The sequence below is a fragment of the Homo sapiens genome, chromosome 16 (genome assembly GCF_000001405.40).
Source record: "Homo sapiens chromosome 16, GRCh38.p14 Primary Assembly".
In the NCBI taxonomy this organism is placed as follows: domain Eukaryota; kingdom Metazoa; phylum Chordata; class Mammalia; order Primates; family Hominidae; genus Homo; species Homo sapiens.
The window spans coordinates 48,327,146-48,349,075 of NC_000016.10; the positions used below are offsets into that span (position 1 = coordinate 48,327,146).

The 21,930-nt window shown below is 42.9% G+C and overlaps 1 protein-coding gene and 1 pseudogene across 7 annotated transcripts in view, besides 1 other annotated feature; one reads left to right on the plus strand and one right to left on the minus strand.

Moving 5' to 3' along the window:
• LONP2 (lon peptidase 2, peroxisomal) overlaps positions 1–21,930 on the plus strand; it is a 118,704-nt gene that overhangs the window by 82,846 nt on the left and 13,928 nt on the right. For 4 of the 7 annotated variants that reach the window (NM_001348078.2, XM_047434738.1, NM_031490.5 and 1 more), the window contains 3 exons: positions 7,071–7,213; positions 20,362–20,569; positions 20,955–21,145. In NM_001348078.2, the coding sequence (NP_001335007.1) occupies positions 7,071–7,213; positions 20,362–20,569; positions 20,955–21,145 (542 nt within the window). Of the gene's footprint in view, positions 1–7,070; positions 7,214–9,247; positions 9,381–13,479; positions 19,767–20,361; positions 20,570–20,954; positions 21,146–21,930 lie in introns of those variants that run through there. The other 3 variants (XM_047434737.1, XM_017023756.2, XM_017023755.3) reach the window with 3 other exon arrangements.
• Positions 7,239–7,739, minus strand: UBA52P8 (ubiquitin A-52 residue ribosomal protein fusion product 1 pseudogene 8; annotated as a pseudogene).
• Positions 9,354–9,855: an enhancer, noted in NCBI's record as "NANOG hESC enhancer chr16:48370410-48370911 (GRCh37/hg19 assembly coordinates)". NCBI's record gives its function as "activates a minimal SCP1, AML or CMV promoter by ChIP-STARR-seq in primed H9 embryonic stem cells {active_cell/tissue: H9 hESC(primed)}" and the evidence as "EXISTENCE:reporter gene assay evidence [ECO:0000049][PMID:30033119]".

Here is a 21,930-nt window from a genome sequence, read left to right on the forward strand (position 1 = left end):
TGCTTTAATGCTGGGAAACTCCGTGGTTATGCCCCAACTATCTTGGCAATGTTCTGAATCAGACATAGATAATACCTATTAAAGGTATTAATAGGCCAATAATACCTAGTAAAGAAGAGCTGGGATATACCTCTGCATAGATTAAATCAACTAGAAAACACTAGCCCCCTCCCATTTTCAGACCGATTTTATTTCTTTTAAGTGGGAAAATAGTCGAAGTGGGATGAAGCAGAGCTAGCTTATTCTACTCATTTTATATTTCTGTGGCCTTTTCAACCTCTGTTTAACAGCACTTTATTACTTAGTTTTTTTGTTTTGTTTTGTTTTTTTGGGATGGAATCTCACGTTGTCGCCCAGGTTGGAGTGCAGTGGCATGATCTCGGCTCACTGCAACCTCCACTTCCCGGGTTCAAGCGATTCTCATGTGTTAGCCTCTCAAGTAGCTGGGATTACAGGCACCTGCCACCAGGTCCGGCTAATTTTTGTGTTTTCATTAGAGATGGGGTTTCACCATGTTGGCCAGGCTGGTCTCGAACTCCTCACCTCAGGTGATCTGCCCGCCTCAGCCTCCCAAAGTGCTGGGATTATAGGTGTGAACCACCACGCCCAGCCTCACTTTATTACTTTTAAGAATATGCTTCAAAATAGTTTGTAAAGAAGATTTTAATAGGGAGCACTTATATGAAATATAATAGTGATATATAGTATAGCATAGAGCAGAGTCTTCAGTCTTTGTATCTTTTTCTTTTTTTCTTATGCATATTTAATGTATGTGATTCCCAACCGTTGTGTGATTGTGGTCAGAGCCCTGTCTGTGGGATGCTGGGTAGAATGAGATTGTAGAGAGCACTTTGTTTTCTTGTAATTGAAGGGTTTGGGGTGAGAATATGTGAGTCATAGAAATCTGTATAGTAAATATTACTCTAAAAAGGGAGCCATCAGGATCTGGGAGAATTTGCTAAAGGAAAACTAAGAATGAAAAAAAGGCCAGGTACAGTGGCTCACTCCTGTAATCCCAACACTTTGAGAGGCCAAGGCAGGAGGACCTGAGGCCAGGAGTTCAAGACCAACCTGGCCAACATAGTGAAACCCCGTCTCTACTAAAAATACAAAAATTGGGCCGGGCGCGGTGGTTCACACCTGTAATCCCAGCACTTTGAGAGGCTGTGGCGGGTGAATCACGATATCAGGAGTTCGAGACTAGCCTGACCAACATGGTGAAACCCCGTCTCTACTAAAAATACAAAAATTGGGCCGGGCGCAGTGGCTCACACCTGTAATCCCAGCACTTTGAGAGGCCGTGGCGGGTGGATCACGATATCAGGAGTTCGAGACTAGCCTGACCAACATGGTGAAACCCCGTCTCTACTAAAAATACAAAAATTAGCCAGGCATGGTGACGTGTGCCTGTAATCTCAGCTTCTCAGGAGGCTGAGGCAGGAGAATCACTTGAACCCAGGAGGTGGAAGTTGCAGTGAGCCGAGATCACACCATTGCCCTCTAGCCTGGGTGACACGGGGACTCCGTCTCAAAAAAAAAAAAAAAAAAAATTGGCCAGGTGTGGTGGTACACACCTGTAATCCCAGCTACTTGGGAGGCTGAGGCATGAGAATCGCATGAACACAGACGGCAGAGGTTGCAGTGAGCTGAGATCACACCACTACGCTCCAGCCTCTGTCTCAAAAAAAAAAGGGGGGGAGGGGCGGTGGGGGGAGCGGGAGCCAGTATATAATTCAGTATCTCTCATCTATACATATTAAGGCTTTTGACCATTACCAAATTCTCCCAGCAGCTCTCTGAGAGTACTGTAATTCTGGTTTTGCTGATTAGAAAACCAGATACAAAGAGGTAAAGTCACCTTGTTCTAGGCCACTAGGTGGTAATCTGAGTCAGGACTGGAGACAATGATTTATTTTTAATATCTCATGTAATGTTAATCTCATAACTCAGGGCATAACTCTTTTACCATTTTGGACTATATCATTTCATTCATATGATAAAGACACTGTAGCTTCCCCCTCACCTGCAGCTTCACTTTCTGCAGTTTTAGTTACCTGTGGTCAACCATCGTCCAAAAATATTAACTGGAAAATTCTAGAAATAATCCACTCGTAAGTTTTAAATTGTGCACTATTCTGGGCAGTGTGATGAAATGTCGAGCCATCCTGCTCTGTGTGACCCTGGACAGGAAGCCTCTCTTTGTCCAGCATATCCATGCTGTATGACTCCCGCCCCTTTAGCCACTCAGCAGCCATCTCACTTACCAGATCAACTGTCTTGGTTTCAGGGTGTTTGTGTTCAAGTAACCCTTCCTTTACTTAATAATGGACCCAAAGCCAAGAGCAGTGATGCTGGCATTCTGGGTTTATTTTATTAGTATTGTTGTAAATCTCTTACTTTGCTTAATTTATAAATTAAACATGATCATAAGTACATATCTATAGGGAAAAAATGGTATATATAGGGTTCTGAACCATCCTGCATTTCAGGTATCCACCGTGGGTCTGGAAATGTATCGCCTGTGGAGAAGGGGTGACTACTGTGTATGTAAAAATCACCCTGTGTGAAATGTTATATCCTCCCCTTTCCTCAGTTTAACGTTGTTTTGAAAGAATTTTCTCACATTACTTGAAAACACTTAGGAAACCATTTTTAGTGACTGTAGTATTTTACCAGTTAGATATGCCATGGTTTACTTAACCATGTTCCTAATGTTGGGTACTTATATTGGATCTAAGTTTTGCTGTTATTTGTAGTGCTGCGATGGGTGACTGTGCACAAACCCTTGCCTGTACTTTTGTGTATTTCCCTAAGGATAGATTGCTGCAAAAAAGAACCACTGAGTGTGAGACTGTAAATATTTGGAAGGCTTTCAGTCTATTTCCATATTGCTTTCCTGAAAGATTGAACCAGTTTATACTTCTGTAAGCAACAGTGTTTGAGAAGATCTCTTTACTTTTTTTAACATTGACCTTTGTCATTTCTTAAACTTTACTAGTTATTTTGGTAACCGGCTTGTTTTTATAATTTGAATTTCTTTGCTTCTCAGTGAAATAATAGTTTCTTTTATAGGAGTATTAACCATTTGTTAAGAACCACTATTTTAGTCCAAAAGAAAGGTATATAAGAAGAAAACTGCACAATTCCAGTGGGAAGGACTTGGGGTCAGGGTCCCTGATATGTTGGAAGGTTGAACTTTTTGTTGTTGGTTTTTCCCCTTGCCTTAAAAAGTCCATATTGCTTGAATGTTGCAATCTTGGGCAAGGCCAGCAATTAATCCAAGGGATGATGCCACTGTCTTCTCCTGGTGCTGGTCCTTTCTGACAGAGAACATGGTACTAGGGCTGAGTGCTTGAATGCTTGCACATAGGACCCAGAAGGTGCACATATAACCGGGGGTTCGTTCCTTGAGTGATATCTTTGTGAGATGACATTTTGCTTGTTGGTTGTTTGTTTTATAATGAGGAATCAAAGTGGGTATTCTAGGAAGATCCAGTGTTTCCCTACTCACACTTTGCATTACACACAGTCCAGGGGGTGACTCAGAATCCAGTGCTGTCCTGCCTCTCCCAGTTGGCTGACACCATTTTCTTGACTGGAGCCTTAGTTTTCTAGGCATATATTCTAATGATGGAACATTTTGAAATGCAGATTATTTTTGAGGTTACTGAATTTTTTAATAACACAGCTGCTGTCCCTAAATTGCCATCTTTTATAAGGTCTAGTTGCATTAGAAATAGCTCTCCCAACCCCACTCCCCCAGTGCTCAGAACGCTGAACCCCGTACTACACTTGGAAAAGGATTGGATGTCCTAAAGCATTGGTTATGTAATTGTGGGTTGGCTTTCACCCACTGAGCTTTACTTCCTCCTGTGATCGTGAAATACAAGCTGGCAACAGTAATTAGATCTCAGAAAAGCTTGTCACAAAGCACCACAGACTAGAGAAACTTGTAAGCTCTTTTTGCACTGGCTGAAGTTTTTGAGTACCACTACCTTCCATCTATAGTGTAGTAACCTTAGACAGGTAGTGCTTTTCTTCTGTGCATTAATTTTAATTAAGCAATGACACCTACTTTCTTTTCCACTCTGAGATCTGCATGTAGCTAAACTTATCAGGTGAGTGCTTTCCCATCTTTGATCATTGATACTGCTTGGAATATACCGGAAAAAGAGCAGCAAGCAGAAAATCTCCCATTTCCACAAGCTGCTGACTAACTCAGAATTGCTAGATTTTGTGAAGCAAATGAATGCTATAAAAGAAGTCAGAAAGATCAGGGAAGCTGTCCCTAGGACTTGGTCAGGCCAAACCTTGAAATATCAAGTGATGTTACAGAGGTACAATTATGAGAATATATATAACTCAAGACTTACATATGTGATAAATAGTGCATTGCTCTTTGCCGTCTCCAAAGGATTTTCTTTTTTTTTTTTTTTTGAGACGGAGTCTCACTGTGTCGCCCAGGCTGGAGTGCAGTGGCGCGATCTCCGCTCACTGCAAGCTCTGCCTCCCGGGTTCACGCCATTCTCCTGCCTCAGCCTCCCGAGTAGCTGGGACTACAGGCACCCACCACCACGCCCAGCTAATTTTTTGTATTTTTAGTAGAGACGGGGTTTCACTGTGTTAGCCAGGATGGTCTCGATCTCCTGACCTCGTGATCCACGCGCCTCGGCCTCCCAAAGTGCTGGGATTACAGGCGTGAGCCACCACGCCTGGCCAGGATTTTATTTTTAATTCTCACAGCAATTCTGCAGAGAGAGGTAGTGAGAGGTTTAATGCTTTGTTCAACATAATTTGCTGTTAAATAGCCATTCATTGGCAGAAAATCTGAACTGTTGTGTTTTCCTTCCTGTGTCATTCATGGTTTCAGTCCTGAAGAGGAGCCCACTAGAGCCCAACAGGAGAGGAGAGTGGGAGAATCCCTCACCCAGAAGTTCACAGTGGTATCATTTAGTGACACTCAGGATGTCTCCAGTTATTGTTAGAATTTAAAGTTAGGTTCATCCCTGTGAGGTCCAAGAAAATATAAAAATAAAATAAGGGTCTACTAGTATTAAACATACTCTGTAATCACTTTTGAAAGGAAAGGAGTTAGTGGAAAAAATGGAAGAACCATAGCGAAACTAAAATAAATATATGTAGATATATTGCTGGACGTGGTGGCTCACACCTGTAATCCCAACACTATGGGAAGCTGAGGCAGCCAGATCACTTGAGGTCAGGAGTTCAAGACCAGCCTGGTCAACATGGTGAAACCCCGTCTCTACTAAAAATACAAACATTAGGCCAGGCTCAGTGGCTCACACCTGTAATCCCAGCAGTTTGGGAGGCTGAGGTGGGCGGATCACCTGAGGTCAGGAGTTCGAGACCAGCCTGGCCAACATGCTGAAACCCCATCTCTACTAAAAATGCAAAATTTAGCTGGGCATGGTGGCACATGCCTGTAGTCCCAGCTACAGGGAGGTTGAGCCAGGAGAATCGCTTGAACCCAGGAGGTGGAGGTTGCAGTGAGCCATGATTGTGGCACTACACGCCCGCCTGGGTGACACAGCGAGACTCCATCTCAAAAAAAAAAAAATTACATATATATACACATACACACACACACAAACATTAGCCGGGCATGGTGTTGTGCACCAGTAATCCCAGCTACTCTGGAGGCTGAGGCAGGAGAATCGCTTGAACCCAGGAGGCAGAGGTTGCAGTGAGCCGAGATTGCACCACTGCACTGCAGCTTGGGTGACAGAGCGAGACTCTGTCTCAAAAAATATAGATAGATAGACAATGTTAGATAACTGCATAATTATTATATGTGTGTATTAATATACGAAGCAATCACTTTCAGAAGGAATAGTGTGTTAAAAAAAGGTAATGAAAGATTTTAAAACAAAACACTTCATGAGACAAGAAGTTAGAACAATTACGGCAAACTAAAAGAAAAAGCTAGGAATGAGATCGAATACAGCCAAGTATTTCCTGCAGTTTTAAAACCTCTACTCCCCATTTTGGGTTTCTGGCCACAGATTACGTAATATTTTTCGTTACTTGAACTGGAATTACAAAGATTGATACAGAAGATGGTCCGATAAGTCAATTGGGTCCTGCTCCTTGTATGTCTAGGTCCAAACCAAAATGAGTCAATATTTGGACAAGATATCAGCCATCCAGGGCTTATAGGCAGGTAAAGGAGATGGCCCATTATTACAGGGATTTCAAACCAGGCTTTGTATTCTCTTACCCTGGCACTGCCAATTATATTTATTTATTGGAAAATGATAACCTTAGAGTTAAGCTATATGCTTATAAAAGAGGCACTGCTTATATGGGTTCTATCATGTCCAGGTTTACATTGCCCGTTAGAAAACAGGACACCTGGCTGGGTGCAGCAACTCATGCCTGTAATCCCAGCACTTTGGGAGGCCAAGCGAGTGAGGATCGCTTGAGCCCAGGAGGTCAAGGCAGCAGTGAGCTGTGTTCACACCAGTGCACTAGACACCATCTCAAAAAAAAAAAAAAGTGTTGGGGGGAGAGAGAGAAAGAGAGAGAGAGAGAGAAGAGGAGGGGAGGGGAGGGGATACCTGATCAGACTCCTCTGAAGAGGGAATTGAAAAGTTTGTCACAAGCCCTGAGTTATGCTGATATAACAGAGAATTGTTAGATCAGAGAATCCAAAGTAACCTACTGCGCTTAGCCCTTCAGTCTTTGTCCTAGCTATAGGCCATAAAGTTGAATAGTGCCGGGAATTGTTCTTGACTTAAGAATATAATGGTCAAAAAGGACAGGCAAAGTTGTTTCCCTTCTGGAACTTACACTTTAATGGGGGAGATAGACAATAAGCAAGTAAAAGTAATTGAACAAGGCAATTGCAAATACCACCCTCGGTGAGCTCTTGAAACACAAATTATTTCACCTGCATTCCACAGATACACAGGTGAATGTTTGCCTTGATAAATGCATAAAAGTGACTGAACTTTTGAGGTCCACTGGGCTTTTGTTTGATATTTACTGCTAGTGAATTTTCCAGCCTGCAAATCTCTTAGAACTTCTAAATACATTTTTTTTTCTTTTAGGTTGCAGAGAACACATCTTAGAAGATGAAAAACCTGAATCTATCAGTGACACTACTGACTTGGCTCTACCACCTGAAATGCCGATTTTGATTGATTTCCATGCTCTGAAAGACATCCTTGGGCCCCCGATGTATGAAATGGAGGTGATTCATTCTTTTTATTTCTTTTTGCTCCAGTCAATGAAAGGAACACTTTATTGAGGCCCCAGGGCCGTAGGGCCTGGGCAGGAGGCTGCCCTTTGGGGAAGGAATAGCCTTATTCGACCTTCTTTTTGGGACGCAGGTTGTTGGTGTGGCCGCACTTCTTGCAGCAGTTGACTGCATGGGGGCGCAGGCGAGCACAGCTCTTGTGGCACATCATCTTCTTGCAGTTGTATTTCTGGGCAAGGTGGCAGAGGGAAGGCTCCGTAATGCCACCTCACAGGCACAGCATCAGGCGCAGGGTGGACTCTTTCTGGATGTTGTAGTCTAAGAGTGTGTGGCCATCCTTCAGCTGTTTGCCCTCAAATATCAGACACTGCTGGTCAGGTAAGATGCCCTACCTGTCTTGAATTTTGGCTTTGACATTCTCAGTGGCATCACTGGGCTCGACCTCAAGGGTGATGGTCTGGCCTGTGAGGGTCTTCACAAAGATCCACATCTCAGCGTCTGCAGCTTGGCCAGTCTCACTCCATTCTCATTTTTTTGTTGGTACTCACTGGTGTACTCAGGTGGTTGCTTAACAGAGAAGTAAAATTGGATGTTTCCAGAGGCTGAATTTTGCCTTAAGATGGAAACTTTATTTCTATATGGTATTGTGTTTTAGTGCTTATTGTGATAATATGACTTGCCAGGAGCCAGAGATCCCAGCCATATCCTCTTTTAGAACCCCAGTCTCATTTTATTCTCTACCATTCAGTTCCATTTTAAGGACAATGCCTCTGACTCTTCTTCTTAGAAAAATTACATATTCTTATGTGTACTTTAAGGAGGGATTTCTTTGTGCTATCAAGGGCTTGGGGGAAGAGGCGGGGAATCAACCTGATACAGGTCTGAAAACATGAGCATAGCTTAGCTTCAGACTGTGCTAGTGCAGACCCAGATGACATCTTTCAGGAACCTATTGTTCCATTGTTAATAGTTCCTTTAGGGTTAAACCCACATGCAGGTCTAGCCCTATTTTCATCTTTCTCTCCTAACTGTACCTCACAGCAGAAGGCCTGGGTGCCAAGACCGAGTTGAAGCAGCTGATGGAAATAGATGTTAGACTATAACTGCTAAGGGCATTGTGAAATAATTTATAGGTGCTTAGATGAGCTTTCATAGGTTGGTTACTATAAAAATGTTTGTATTATACTACTGAATTTAGCTTTATCATCACCTCCTTATCAGTTTAAGGAAAAAATATTTTCAGAAAATAAATCTGATAAACTATGTAGAAGATAATCTCTCCATCTAACATTTGAAATCATTACCAGTAGATATGGTTTTCCTCAAGTTCTTACAACTGAGCAGATGAGAAATAGCCCCCAAGCCTGTCTTGTTTATCCATTTAAACTCTAAACTGGTCATTAAAGCTAATGAGCCTCTCTACAGAGCTCTCAGTTACAAGAATAGAACTTGTTTACTCTTGACAGTAAATCTGGACTTGAACAATAGAATCAGAAGCATTGTTTTGATTATTTGAATTCTTAAGATATCATGGATTTGAATTTTGAAGTGTTGAAAGAACTTGAGCAAAACATTGTTGATTGAGAAAGTGAACAAAACCTGCTTTCTCGTTCTGGGAGGATCCAGTGACATTGTGAGTGAAGACGCAAACAGGTTTTGACTCCTGCATGGCCGATGACCTTTTTCTGTAGGCTTACCAGAAAAGTACATTCCAACAGTTCTTTGAGGATTTAAACTAGAGCAGCAAATAAAGACAAAAGATTAATGCATGTCTCTGTTGCATATACCCCTCTCTCCCAGCCATTTCTGCTGATGTTAAGTTTGGAAGCATTGCTGACATTCCTGGAGCATTAGCAAAGAAAGAGCCAAGAGAACAGAAATGAGAAATTTTATAAACACTGCTTACCAGTTATCCTTGTTAGCATGGGAGAACCTTATTTTCCTTGTAGCATGTGAGCTTTAACATAGTAACACTTTTACCAACATGAGTCTGCAGAAAGACTCCAGTAGCCATTTTGTCTTTTATAGATAGCATCTTAGAATGGAAGATGTGGTGTGTCACATGCGTGCGTGCGGAGAGACCACCAAACAGGCTTTGTGTGAGCAACAAGGCTGTTATTTCACCTGGGTACAGGTGAGCTGAGTCCGAAAAGAGAGTCAGCAAAGGGAGATAGGGGTGGGGCCGTTTCATAGGATTTGGGTGGGTAGTGGAAAATTACAGTCAAAGGGGGTTGTTCTCTTGCTGGCAGGGGCGGGGGTCACAAGGTGCTCAGTTGGGGAGCTTCTGAGCCAGGAGAAGGAATTTCACTAGGTTAATCGCTCAGTTAAGGTGGGACAGAAACAAATCACAATGGTGGAATGTCATCAGTTAAGGCAGGAACCAACCATTTTCACTTCTTTTGTGATTCTTCACTTGCTTCAGGCCATCTGGATGTATACATGCAGGTCACAGGGGATATGATGGCTTAGCTTGGGCTCAGAGGCCTGACATCGTGTTTTGAGTGTTGGGAACATTGTGTTCATTTTTTTCATACTTGAAAGTGAGAACTCACCCTGTAGCCGGGTGTCTCTACCTGTAGTGGTCTGATGACCACCAGCCCCAAATTACTTAACCACACAGTCTACCTCTGCTTTTGCATCTATAAAATTAAGATTTATGGAACATTTCTTTCTTGTCCGTGAGGGCTGTCACTGTGCTAGGAGTGTAATTCCATTTTACATACAAGGGAAAAAGTTTGAAGAGATTAAATGAATTGTACAAATTCACGTAAGTGGCAGTTGGTAGAGTTAGGATTCAGACTCAGATCAGCTTATTCCAAGTCCATTATTCTTTCTACCTTTCTACAGTACCCTGTCAGGCCAAAATAATTCCTGCCCTTGTCTGCTAGAAGAGAGTGGCAGTGATGTATGAGAGTTTTTTAAAAAGGCATCTGCTCTACATCAGATTCTCATTCATATTCTTACCAACTCTGTTGCTCTGTTTTGGAATGGGAGAGGCTGGGCTCAACTTGTTGACCACTCCCATTTTTGTATCTCTTGGCTATCAGGCACTGTGTAAGGCCCTCCACAGTGATCATTTAATCCTCAGTCATGGTTGTCTTTCCAATAACAGTTGAGGAAACAGGCTTAGAGTATTTAAATAACTTGAGAGAAGACACAACTTATGCCAGAAATGAGATTTGGTTCTAGACCTGACCAACTCCAAACCTAGTGCTGTTTATTACTCTAGAAAAACATCACAGGCAACCTGAGCAGGGCCTCTGTTCATTGCAGAGAGCTCACAGGTGGACCTGAGCAGGGCGTCTGTTCTTTGCACCTCACAAGTGGCCAGTCTTATTTCTCTACTTCTTTGTGCTTTCCTAGGCAAAGAATCTGAAGAGAGAGGTTATACTAGGAATACTGGAATACATGTTGAGGTGTTCCCAAGATGTTATAAGATACCTTTCATTTGTTTGTTTTTACTTTTTGAGATGAGGTCTCACTCTGTCACCTAGGCTGGATTGCAGTGGCATGATCATAGCTCACTGCAACCTCCACCTCCTGGGCTCCCACTTCAGCCTCCTGAGTAGCTGGGACCACAGGCGTGTGCTACCATACCCAGCTAATTTTCTCTGTATTTTTTTGTAGAGATGGGGTTTCACCATGTTGTCCCAGACTGGTCTCAAACTCCTGAGCTCAAGCCATCCACCTGCCTCAGCCTCCCAAAGTGCTGGAATTATAGGCATGAGCCACCAAACCCAGCCGATACCTTTTTTTTGTCTAAATGCCTGTATTCTCCCTTAGGGTAAATTACAGTCTAGGGTCTGTGGTTTCTTCTAGAAAGAGTTTGATTCATTTAATAAATACCTATTAAGGACCTAACATGTGCTTCTGGCAACACAGTAGTAAACAAGCAAGGTATGATGTCTGCCTTCATGGATCCCACTTTAATGCAGGAAAACAATAGACAAGTAAACAAATAATCACAAATTGAAGTTGATGCTATAGAGAAAACAAACAGGGTGGTACTGAGATAGACAGTAACTACTCTAGCTATATCTGAGGTCTGTTTTAGAGGTAGAAGTAGACATGCTGATGGGAAACATTTGGGGAATGAAGGAAACAGTTATCAAAAGGGACTTACAGGTTTCTGGCCAGAGTGACAGGGCATGTGTAGTAGTGCTGTTTACTGAGATGGGGAAGACTTGGGGAGGGAGATGAGGAGAGAGTGTTGCAAAGAAAACTGAGAGCTCTTTTGAACACATTACAGTTGAAATATCCAGGCTGGGCGCGGTGGCTCATGCCTGTAATCCCAGCACTTTGGGAGGCTGAGGCAGGTGGATTGCTTGAGTCTGGGAGTTCAAGACCAGCCTGGGCGACACGGCAAAATCCCTTCTCTACAAAAAATACAAAAATTAGCTGGGTGTGGTGGCTTATGCCTGTAGTCACAACTACTTGGGAGGCTGAGGTGGGAGGATCACTTGAGCCTGGGAGACGGAGGTTGCAATGAGCCAAGATCACGCCACTGCATTCCAGCCTGGGTGACAGAACAAGACCCTGTCTCAAAAAAATAAAATAAAAGTTAGAAATATCTGTGAGGCATAGAAGTAGAGACATTTGGACATTCAGATCTATTGCTCAGAGGAAATACCCAAGATGGAGATTTTAGAATTATTAGAAAATAGAGGATATTTAGAGCCCCAGATATTGAGGCTTTCACATCACCTAAGAAAAAAGGATACATTTTTAAAAAGCAGGTAGTCTAGAAGCAAGCCCTGAAGAACAGCATTATTTAGGGATCATATAGAGAGAAGAGGAGCCAACAAAGAAGTCGGGAAAAACAGAAAGGGACTGGGAAGGAACAAGCCTTCAGGGAAGAGGAAAACCAGGATGTTGTGCTGCCATAGAGACAGAAGAGGAGAGTATTTCAAGAAAGAGGGGACATCAAAATGTGTTTACTGTTTGAGAGATCAAAAGAAGATCAAGGTCAGAACAAATGTGTATTGGATTTGATGGCATGAAGGTTGTTGGTGACCTTGAAAGAGATTTCACAAGGAAGGAGTGGTGGGGATGGTAGAAATTGGAGTATGTTGAAGAGAGAATGGGAGGCGAGGAAGTAGAATTAGTGTGTAGGCAGCTCTTTAGAAGTTTGGCTGTAAACAATTGCAGAGAAATGAGGCAGCTAGAAGAGAATATGGATGTCAAAGGGAGAATGTTTTCAAAATAGTAGCTGCTGCTGAGAGTAATCCAGTAGAGAGCACAGACTGATGTTGCAGGACAGAGCAGTGGTACGATAGAAACAAAGTCTCCAGGAAAGTGAGAGGGGGTGGGACCCAAAGCACCAGTGAGGAAATGGCTTTTGTTGGGAGAAGGGATACCTTTTGCAGGATATTATGTAGAAAGGGACAAGAATATTGAGTTATTTATAAGGAAAAGATTATAATGATGGGGCTAACGTGTGTGAGCTGCACAAGAGAGGAGTGAAGTTAGGGCAGAGCTGCTGTATGATGGGAATGTGCTGGAGTTCATGGCTTGAGTACAGGCGAGCTAGAAGGATAAGAAATGATGGTCAGGGGTTTCAGAGGTAGCATGGTTTCTGTTGGTGATAAGTACCTGGAAGAGGGTGGCTGAGTTCAGGAGGCATTTAAAGAACTGAGAAGCCAGGTTCTGGGAGAGCATCATGCCTTCACTGAAGACACCCAGGGTGATAGCAGGGGCTGGGGCAGAAAGGAAGGAGCAGAGTTTAGAATCTTCCTGAATGTCAGAGACAGTGAAGAGAGAGTCAGGATGGTAAAGCCAGCTGCCATAAGCAGGGGCTCAGAAGGGTAGAAGAATAAGGCCTGAAAGTTGCAAGGCAGCCTCTTACTGACTAAATTTTAAACTTAGTCTCTTTGAGCTTGATGTCTTCCTCTGATAAATGGTGGTAAGCATGTGCACGTTATCACAGAGTTCAAATTTGGTGAGTCAGTGTACCCACTGCATTGCCCAGTAATACTAAAAAAGAAAAAACAAATACTAATTTCTGCAACTACCATACTCCCTAAAAACAGAGACCTACCCCCAATCACCAAAAAATCCCCATTGTTTTTCTAATCCAAATTTTGTACATATTTAATAACCTTATACCACCACTTACTATTTTTTTACTTTCATCGAAGATGAATCTACAAAAATATATTAATGTCAAAAAATATTACTGACCTAGCAAACTGGCAGTTGGGAAGTAAGGTAAGAAGGCACACTTTTATTAATTAATAATATCTTTTGTATTCCCTAAACAGATTGAAAAATGATGGATTAGTTCATTCTTGCATTCCTATAAAGAAATACCTGAAACCAGGCACAGTGGCTCACGCCTGTAAATCCCAGCGCTTTGGGAGGCCAAGGTGGGCGGATCGCTTGAGTTCGAGACCAACCTGGGCAGCAAAGTGAGACCTGGTCTCTACAAAAAATACAAAATATTACCCGGAAGGCTGAGGTGGGATCCACCTGAGCCCAGAAGGTTGAGGCTGCAGTGAGCTGTGATCACACCATTGCACTCTAGCCTAAGTGACAGAGTGAAAACTCTGTCTCAAAAAAAACAAAGAACCACCTGAGACTGGGTAATTTATAAAGAAAAGAGGTTTAATTGGCTCACGGTTCTGAAGGTTCTAAAGGAAGCATAGCTCCAGCATTAGGCCAGGTGCATTGGCTCACACCTGTAATCCCAGCACTTTGGGAGGCCAAGGGCAGGCGGATCATGAGGTCAGGATTTCGAGACCAGCCTGGCCAATATGGTGAAACCCTGTCTCTACTAAAAATACAAAATTAGCTGGGCGTGGTGGCGCACACCTGTAGTCTCAGCTACTCGAGAGGCCGAGGCAGAAGAATCACTTGAACCCAGGAGGCGGAGGTTGCAATGAGCTGAGATCGTGCCACTGCACTCCAGCTTGGGACACAGAGTGAGACTCCATCTCAAAAATAAATAAATAAATAAATAAATAAATAGGTCCAGCATCAGCTTCTGGGGAGGCCTCAGGAAACTTACAGCCTTGGCAGAAAGTGAAGGGGGAGCCGGCATGTCATGTGGCCAGAGCAGGAGCAAGAGTGCAGGAGGGGAGGTGGCCACATGCTTTTAAACAACCACCTCCCACAAGAACTCACTCACTATTGCGAGGACGACAGTACCAAGGGGATGGGGCTAAACCATTCATGAGAAATTTCCCTCCGTGATCCAGTCACCTCCCACCAGGCCCCACCTCCAGCACTGAGGATTATAGTTCAACATGAGATTTGGTGGAGACACAGATCCAAACCATATCAAATGGGTTCTAGGAACTTAGCCTAGATTTCAGATTTAGGAACAGTATCATAGGTCACCTTTTCAAAATACATAAAGTTTCCTACAGAAACAATATCAATTAAGTGCATGTTTTAAAAATAAAAATAAAGGTTACTACAAAAAAAGTGGGGAGGAGCAGGAGTGGGTGCAGGTGTCCCCAGGAAGCCTAGGCATAGCTCACACTGCATGTGCTATCACGGCAAGACTCAGAACTGCCCCGAATCCGAGGAGGGGCCATGCGAGTAGGTGGGCCTAGGCACCTCCTCAGTCACTGGCTGTGCCCTTTCACTCTGTCACTGGGAGACAGAATCCTGAGTTTTCTGCTTCAGGGAGCCTGCATGGAAAGAGTAGGTCACTGCCGGAAATCAGGCTAGTTTTAGCAAAAGGAACGGACATTAGGCACCTCCAAAGGGACAAAGGACCAATATACCTGGTTGGGGACAGGATTCTGTCATTTGATTATTCCTGACTCATGTTTTCATGAGGTAGTCCCCCACCTCATATAAAAGCCTCAGTGTTGGCTTCTGACCATGGTGTATGAAAAGCCCTTGTCTAAAGGTTACTGCCCTGAGAAAATAATAAAGGAAGAAGAGGATAGACATGAAGACACTTTAAAGCCTCCTGAATAGAATGCATCCAGAAGCGAATTCCAGGAGATTCTGTCATCATGCTTGCCTTTCAAGCAAACAAAATTAGCTGCTAGAACTGAGAAAGAGTGTAAACACCAACTAAATGCCTCAAAGAATCATGGTAGTAAATTACTTCTCCATGTTGCTCCATATAAACCTGCTGTGCCACCTGTTGAAGGCAGCACTGATGCTGCATGTTCAGTCTGGTCCAAGGCCCCAACAGGAATCCGTTGTGCCAAGAAAAGGCCCTACTGGAAGGATTGGAGAGCAGCTGGTTCTCAGCAATGCAAGCATCAGGCCAGGCTGGGGCTGCTTAATGCTGCTTAAGAGATGACAGTGGTGGACCCCAACACCTCTCCAAGGGATGTAGAATCTGCTTTTCCCATTTCTGAATGCTACTGAAACAAATCTACAACTAGAAAAATCAAATATTCATGAATTCAAGACTTGGGATCTCAGTACTAAGACTTTAAAGAAGTTGCCAGATGGATCGCTTCTGTGGTGACAGCCCTGGCAGGAGCATTCAAGTGCTCTATGAGCTACAAAAGAAACCAGTTGATGGTGTGAACACCACTACAGAGCAACCTGCACACCACAGCAATTTGACAGCTCAGGTTCTGTGTCTCATGTGGCACCGTGCTTGTCCTTGGAAAGAAGGCCTACAAAATTCTTCATATCTCCATTCCTTGACATCTGCTGGCAAACTCCCACTCATATTTTAAGACTCAGCCTCTCCTGTGACACCTGTGTCTTCTCTCCAAACAGGGAGGGACGCTTGCCTCTTCAGAGCTCCCCACACTGGAGTATAACTGCTCCTGTGTCTGATGCCCTTAGTCTCAGTGCCAGGAGGTATTCATGCTTATGTCCCCATGGCCTGTAACAGAGCCTGCATCAGGATGCTTGGTAAAGGACTGTTGAATGAATGTCAAATATGGGTCCCTCTGATGGGTCTATACGTGTTGATCTAGGATTGGAAGGGTCACAAAGAGTTGTGCATGCTTACAATTTCAATCAAATATCACTATTTTTAGTTAAGAGGGAAGAGTAGTGTGAAATTGGCAATAATTAGATACTCCAAATGTTCTTTAAAAACTAATAGCATTGATGTATTAAGAATGCAATCAGCCGGGCACAGCAGCTCACACCTGTAATCCCAGCACTTTGGGAGGCTGAGGCAGGTGGATCATGAGGTCAGGAGTTCGAGACCAGCCTGGCCAAGATTGTGAAACCCCCGTCTCTACTAAAAATACAAAAATTAGCCGGGCATGGTGACGCACACCTGTAGTCCCAGCTACTTGGGAGGCTGAGGCAGGAGAATTGCTTGAACCCAGGAGGTGGAGGTTGCAGTGAGCCCAGATCGTGCCATTGCACTCCAGCCTGGGTGACGAGCGAAACTCAGTCTAAAAAAAAAAAGAATGCAATCATACATTAGAAGACACATTCTGTTTTAGATTTTTACTTAAATATTTTAAATACTTCCTTAATCTGCATATTTACCTTATTGATAGATTTCAGAAGAAATTGATCATTTCATGGAACAAGATTTATTAGACACATAAGGAAAGTGAATCATAACAACTGTACAGGTGGGAAATTGAACAACAAAAATGACCCTGAGATACCCACATTCTACTTTGGCATATAGTGGGAAAAACATTCTAGACTTCAAGTCTAGGCCTATCTTGGCTAATGTAACCGATGACTTCACAAACCATTTATGGGACTAGAAGCTGAAAGGAAAGTACTGGTGGATAAACATCATATTGAAATTATGTTGAGTCACTTATTTGCTATAAAACACAAATTGTTTTGTGTAAAGGGGTTAAGATGGCTGGAAAACTGTCTCCACTCAAGAGCAAGAAAGCAGCATGTGTCTTACCCTGTACCTTCATTTTTACTTGTACTTCATAATTTCTGAGGGAGAAATACGTGGAAACCAGATGCTTGATATAGTTTCAGAACACGTCCTTAAAGAATATGACTCCAAGTCTAAGAATTGTAGGTCCTTTGCTTCTTAGATAACTACTGTTAGCCTTGATCACAGAGATTCCAGGTTTAATAACTTCAGTTCTCCCCACTGTGTATATAGATGTTAAGTTACACAGATTTGGCATTATTCCCATTTTCAGGTTAATATCAGAACACTTGTTATCAAGTCAGGATAGTAATTGTGAGCCTAGATGCTCTAGGTTTGGCCATACGTGGTTATCTACACCACCAACTGTTCCAATTAACAATTTACCAGTTGCTTCTACCCAAAGTACCAAGACTCCAGCAAATGGGGAATATTGGAAACTGGCTTGGCTTCTTGAAGCAACATGGTAATCAATAAGAATCTTGGCTGGGCATGGTGGCTCATGCCTGCAGTCCCAGCACTTTAGGAGGCCAAGATGGAAAGATGGGAAGATCGCTCAAGCCCAGGAGTTCAAGACCAGCCTGGGCGACATCGTGAAACCCCATCTCTACAAAAAAATACAAAAATTAGCTGGGTATGGTCGTGGGTGCCTGTAGTCCCAGCTGCTGGGGAGCTGAGGTGGGAGATCACCTGAGCCCAGGAGGCAGTTGCAGTGAGCCAAGATTGCACCACTGCACTCCAGCCTGGGTGACAGAGTGAGACTCTGTCTCAAAACAAACAAAACAACAATCTGGCTGGGCGCGGTCGCTAATGTCTGTAATCCCAACACTTTGGGAGGCTGAGGAGGCAGATCACTTGAGGTCAGGAATTCGAGACCAGCCTGGCCAACATGGTGAAACCCGTCTCTATTAAAAATACAAAAATTAGCCGGGCATGGTGGCACACACCTGTAATCCCAGCTACTTGGGAGGCTGAGGCAAGAGAATTGCTTGAACCAGGAGGCAGAGGTTGCAGTGAGCTGAGATCATGCCTCTGCACTCCAGCCTGAGCTACAGAGCGAGACTCTGTCTCAAAAAAACAAAAAACAAAAACAAGAAGAATCTTACTACTGCTTCTTCGGGGATACTTTTGGTATTATTTTGACAAATGAATTGTGAGGATTCAAATATAAGAAAGGGATTATTCTTGGTAGAGTTAACAAAATTGTACCAAATGACTTTTTGTGTTAAACACGATTCATTCACCCAACCCTAGAAAGGAGCCTGAATGAAGTCTAATTTGGGTGACAGATTCCCACACAAATTAGATGTATGTCATTCAGGTATAGAGAATTGATTTTATATTAGAAAAAACAAACCTTGTAAACAGTTTTATAAATAACTGTTTCATGATTTTCCTTAAGTAGTACTGATCTCTTACATATAGATCGTTTGTGTCTTTCGCCTCAAGTTAGTATAGAACAGGGCAAGTGGCAAAGCTCGAGGAAAGTGTGACCTGAGGTACATGCTGTCAGCTTGATGCTGGAGTTTGGCCTCTCAAATCTCTAACCTGTTAAATGAAGTTAATTAGGATTAATTTTTTTTAATGTATGTTTACTACTGAAAATAAGTGCTCGGCCAGACGCAGAGGCTCACGCCTGTAATCCCAGCACTTTGGGAGGCCGAGGCTGGCAGATCACCTGAAGTCAGGAGTTTGAGACCAGCCTGGCCAACATGGCGAAACACTGTCTCTATTAAAAATACAAAAATTAGCTGGGTGTGGTGATACATGCCTGTAATCCCAGCTACTCGGAGCCTGAGGCAGGAGAACTGCTTGAACCCAGGAGGCGGAGGTTGCATTGAGCCAAGATTGTGCCATTGCACTCCAGCCCAGGCGACAGAGTGAGACTCATGTCTCAAAAAAAAAAAAAAAAAAAAGAGGAAAAGAAGTGCCCAATAGCTTCAATGGATGCCACATAATTTTGGAATAATTTTTACAATCAGGAATTTCATTGTCCAAGCCCCTTAGAAAAAGAAGCAACCCAGCCCCATACCCAGAAAGTCAAGCTGTATAGTGCTGTTCCTTAGTGAGACGGTCAACTCTCAGTAGAAAAATCTCCTGTTTGGATTAGTGCTTAGTTGACCTATTGTGTTCAGTTCCTCTAACATGAGTAACTTCTATTGGATAGGAAATTTTGAAGCTCAAAGGGTGTAATGAGAGTTAACATTACTGATTTTCCACTGTTACTTTTTAGTGTTTTCATAACTTGGATGTGTTAACCTATGGCCCATCAACTATGCTCCTAGTCTCAGGTGACAACATGTTCAATTTAAGATGGCAGGCAGTACAGTGGACCTCTCTCATCCCATGGGAAGGAACCCAGGATGTTTATTATGTAGTATTGTATAGTCTCTGCAGCAGTAATAGAGAAAGTTAAAGGTAAGCGGTGGAGAAGTAAAATCTAGAGTTTCTAATATAACCCTTCTCACTTTTCTTTTCAAAAAAAATAAGAGGGTCTCACCATGTTGCCCACACTGGTCTCTATCGAACTCCTGGGCTCAAGCGATCCTGTCGTCTCAGCCTCCCAAAGTGCTAGGATTACAGGCATGAGCCACTCTGCATGGCCAAGCTCACTCTTCTTAAAGGTCTGCTAGTAAGAGGGTTTCTACTTTTTGAAACAAATTCATGATTACCTAAAATGAAGCTAGGTTATGAAGTATATATAAATATGCAGCCCAATAGGCTGGGTGTGGTGGCTCACACCTGTAATCCCAGCACTTTGGGAGGCTGAGGCAGGCAGATCACTTGAGGTCAGGAGTTTGAGACCAGTCTGGCCAACATGGTGAGACCACATCTCTACAAAAAATACAAAAATTAGCGGGTGTGGTGGCCTGTGTGCGCCCATAGTACCAGCCACTTGGGAGGCAGAGGCAGGAGAATCACTTGAAGCCAGGAGGCAGAGTTTTCAGTGAGCTGAAATTGTGTCACTGTACTTCAAGCCTGGGCAATGGAGTGAGACTGTCTCAAAATATATATATATTTGCAGCCCAATAAAGATACTTAGATAAAACTATTGGGTTTATTCCTTGAAAACTAGGGCATGTGTAGCTAGATCTGGCTCATAAAAAGCAAAGTTATTTACATATATTTTAAGGTAAAATTGCCTCTGATAAATGTCAAAGAGGAAGTTTAGGTCTTTCTTCTGGCAGAAAGCCAGAGAGTAAGTGCTGAATGTGACGCAGAATCATGTTAGGTAACAAGGACTTTGAGGTAAGTGGCTGAAGTCTTCTGTGGAGTCAGCCGACTCTTGCAGGATTGTGTGGTATCAGTCACCTTTAGCATTTGCCAACCCAACTCTGATCATTCTTCTTCTTTCAAGGTATCTCAGCGTTTGAGTCAGCCAGGAGTAGCAATAGGTTTGGCTTGGACTCCCTTAGGTGGAGAAATCATGTTCGTGGAGGCGAGTCGAATGGATGGCGAGGGCCAGTTAACTCTGACCGGCCAGCTCGGGGACGTGATGAAGGAGTCCGCCCACCTCGCTATCAGCTGGCTCCGCAGCAACGCAAAGAAGTACCAGCTGACCAATGGTAGGAGCCTGCACCCGGCCAGGCAGGCGTGACCCAGGAGGCGGTACCTTCCATGGCGGAGACTGGCATGAGCTCGAGACTGCCAGTTACACATCTAGCAAAGTACACACCGTTTTGAACCCCTGTGGAAATCCTAGTTCCCATTTCAGGACTATTTGACTAGTGCCTGAACTAGAAACTAATTCAAAAGGTTTATTTTGTTTTAATACGACTTAGAGTAGAATGGAACTGTTCTTCCACACCCTCACCCAAATTGTACTGTCCACCAATATTTTGAAGAATTCATTTACCCAAAACATTCATTTTTGTTTGTGACTTTTTTTTTAGGAGAAAAAGAAAACAGGTTTAATTTTTCTACATTAAAGTCCCTTTTTCCTTTTTAAAGCTTTTGGAAGTTTTGATCTTCTTGACAACACAGACATCCATCTGCACTTCCCAGCTGGAGCTGTCACAAAAGATGGACCATCTGCTGGAGTTACCATAGTAACCTGTCTCGCCTCACTTTTTAGTGGGCGGCTGGTACGTTCAGATGTAGCCATGACTGGAGAAATTACACTGAGAGGTCTTGTTCTTCCAGTAAGTATGAAAAAACAATTTATATGGTTATTTTTTATTTAATTTTTGAAAATTAATATTATTTTTAAATACGGGTTTGCCTTCTTTCTATGAAAACCTTGGTTTTAAGTATATATTATATTTTTATGCCTGTAACTAATTCATATTTTAAAATTTTGATCAAATAAAAGAAAAACTGACAATTTTTCACATTTTCCTTTTTTTTTTTTTTTTTTTTTTGAAATAGACAGGTCTCACTCTGTTGCCCAGGCTGGAGTGCAGTGGTGTGACTGTAGCTCACTATAGCCACCAAGTCCTGGGCTCAAGCGATCCTCCTGTCTATCTCCCGAATAGCTGGGACTATAGGAGCACGCCACCATGCTCAGCTAATTTATTTTATTTTGCGTAGAGACAGGGTCTCTCTGTGTTGTCCAGGCTTGTCTCAAACTCCAGGTCTCATGCAGTCCTCTCATCTCCACCTCCCAAAGTGCTGGGATTACAGGCGTGAGCCACCACATTCAGCCCACGTTTCCCATTCTAAGATTTGCTAAGGGAAAAAAATATTAGTGTGGTCATCAGAAATATTGGCAGTTACATGAAAATTTGAGGCCTTGTTCTACTTGACAAATTGTTAAAGATATAGCACATGTGCAAAATGGGATAGTAGTTGTTTTTAAGCTTTAAGCCCATTTCTTAAATTTGAAGTTTCTTTGAGACCTCCTGTCCCCCTGCAGAAAACTTTGCTAGTATAGAATGGAAACTCTAATAAAGATTAACCATATCTAATGACTACATTTTGAAAAGGT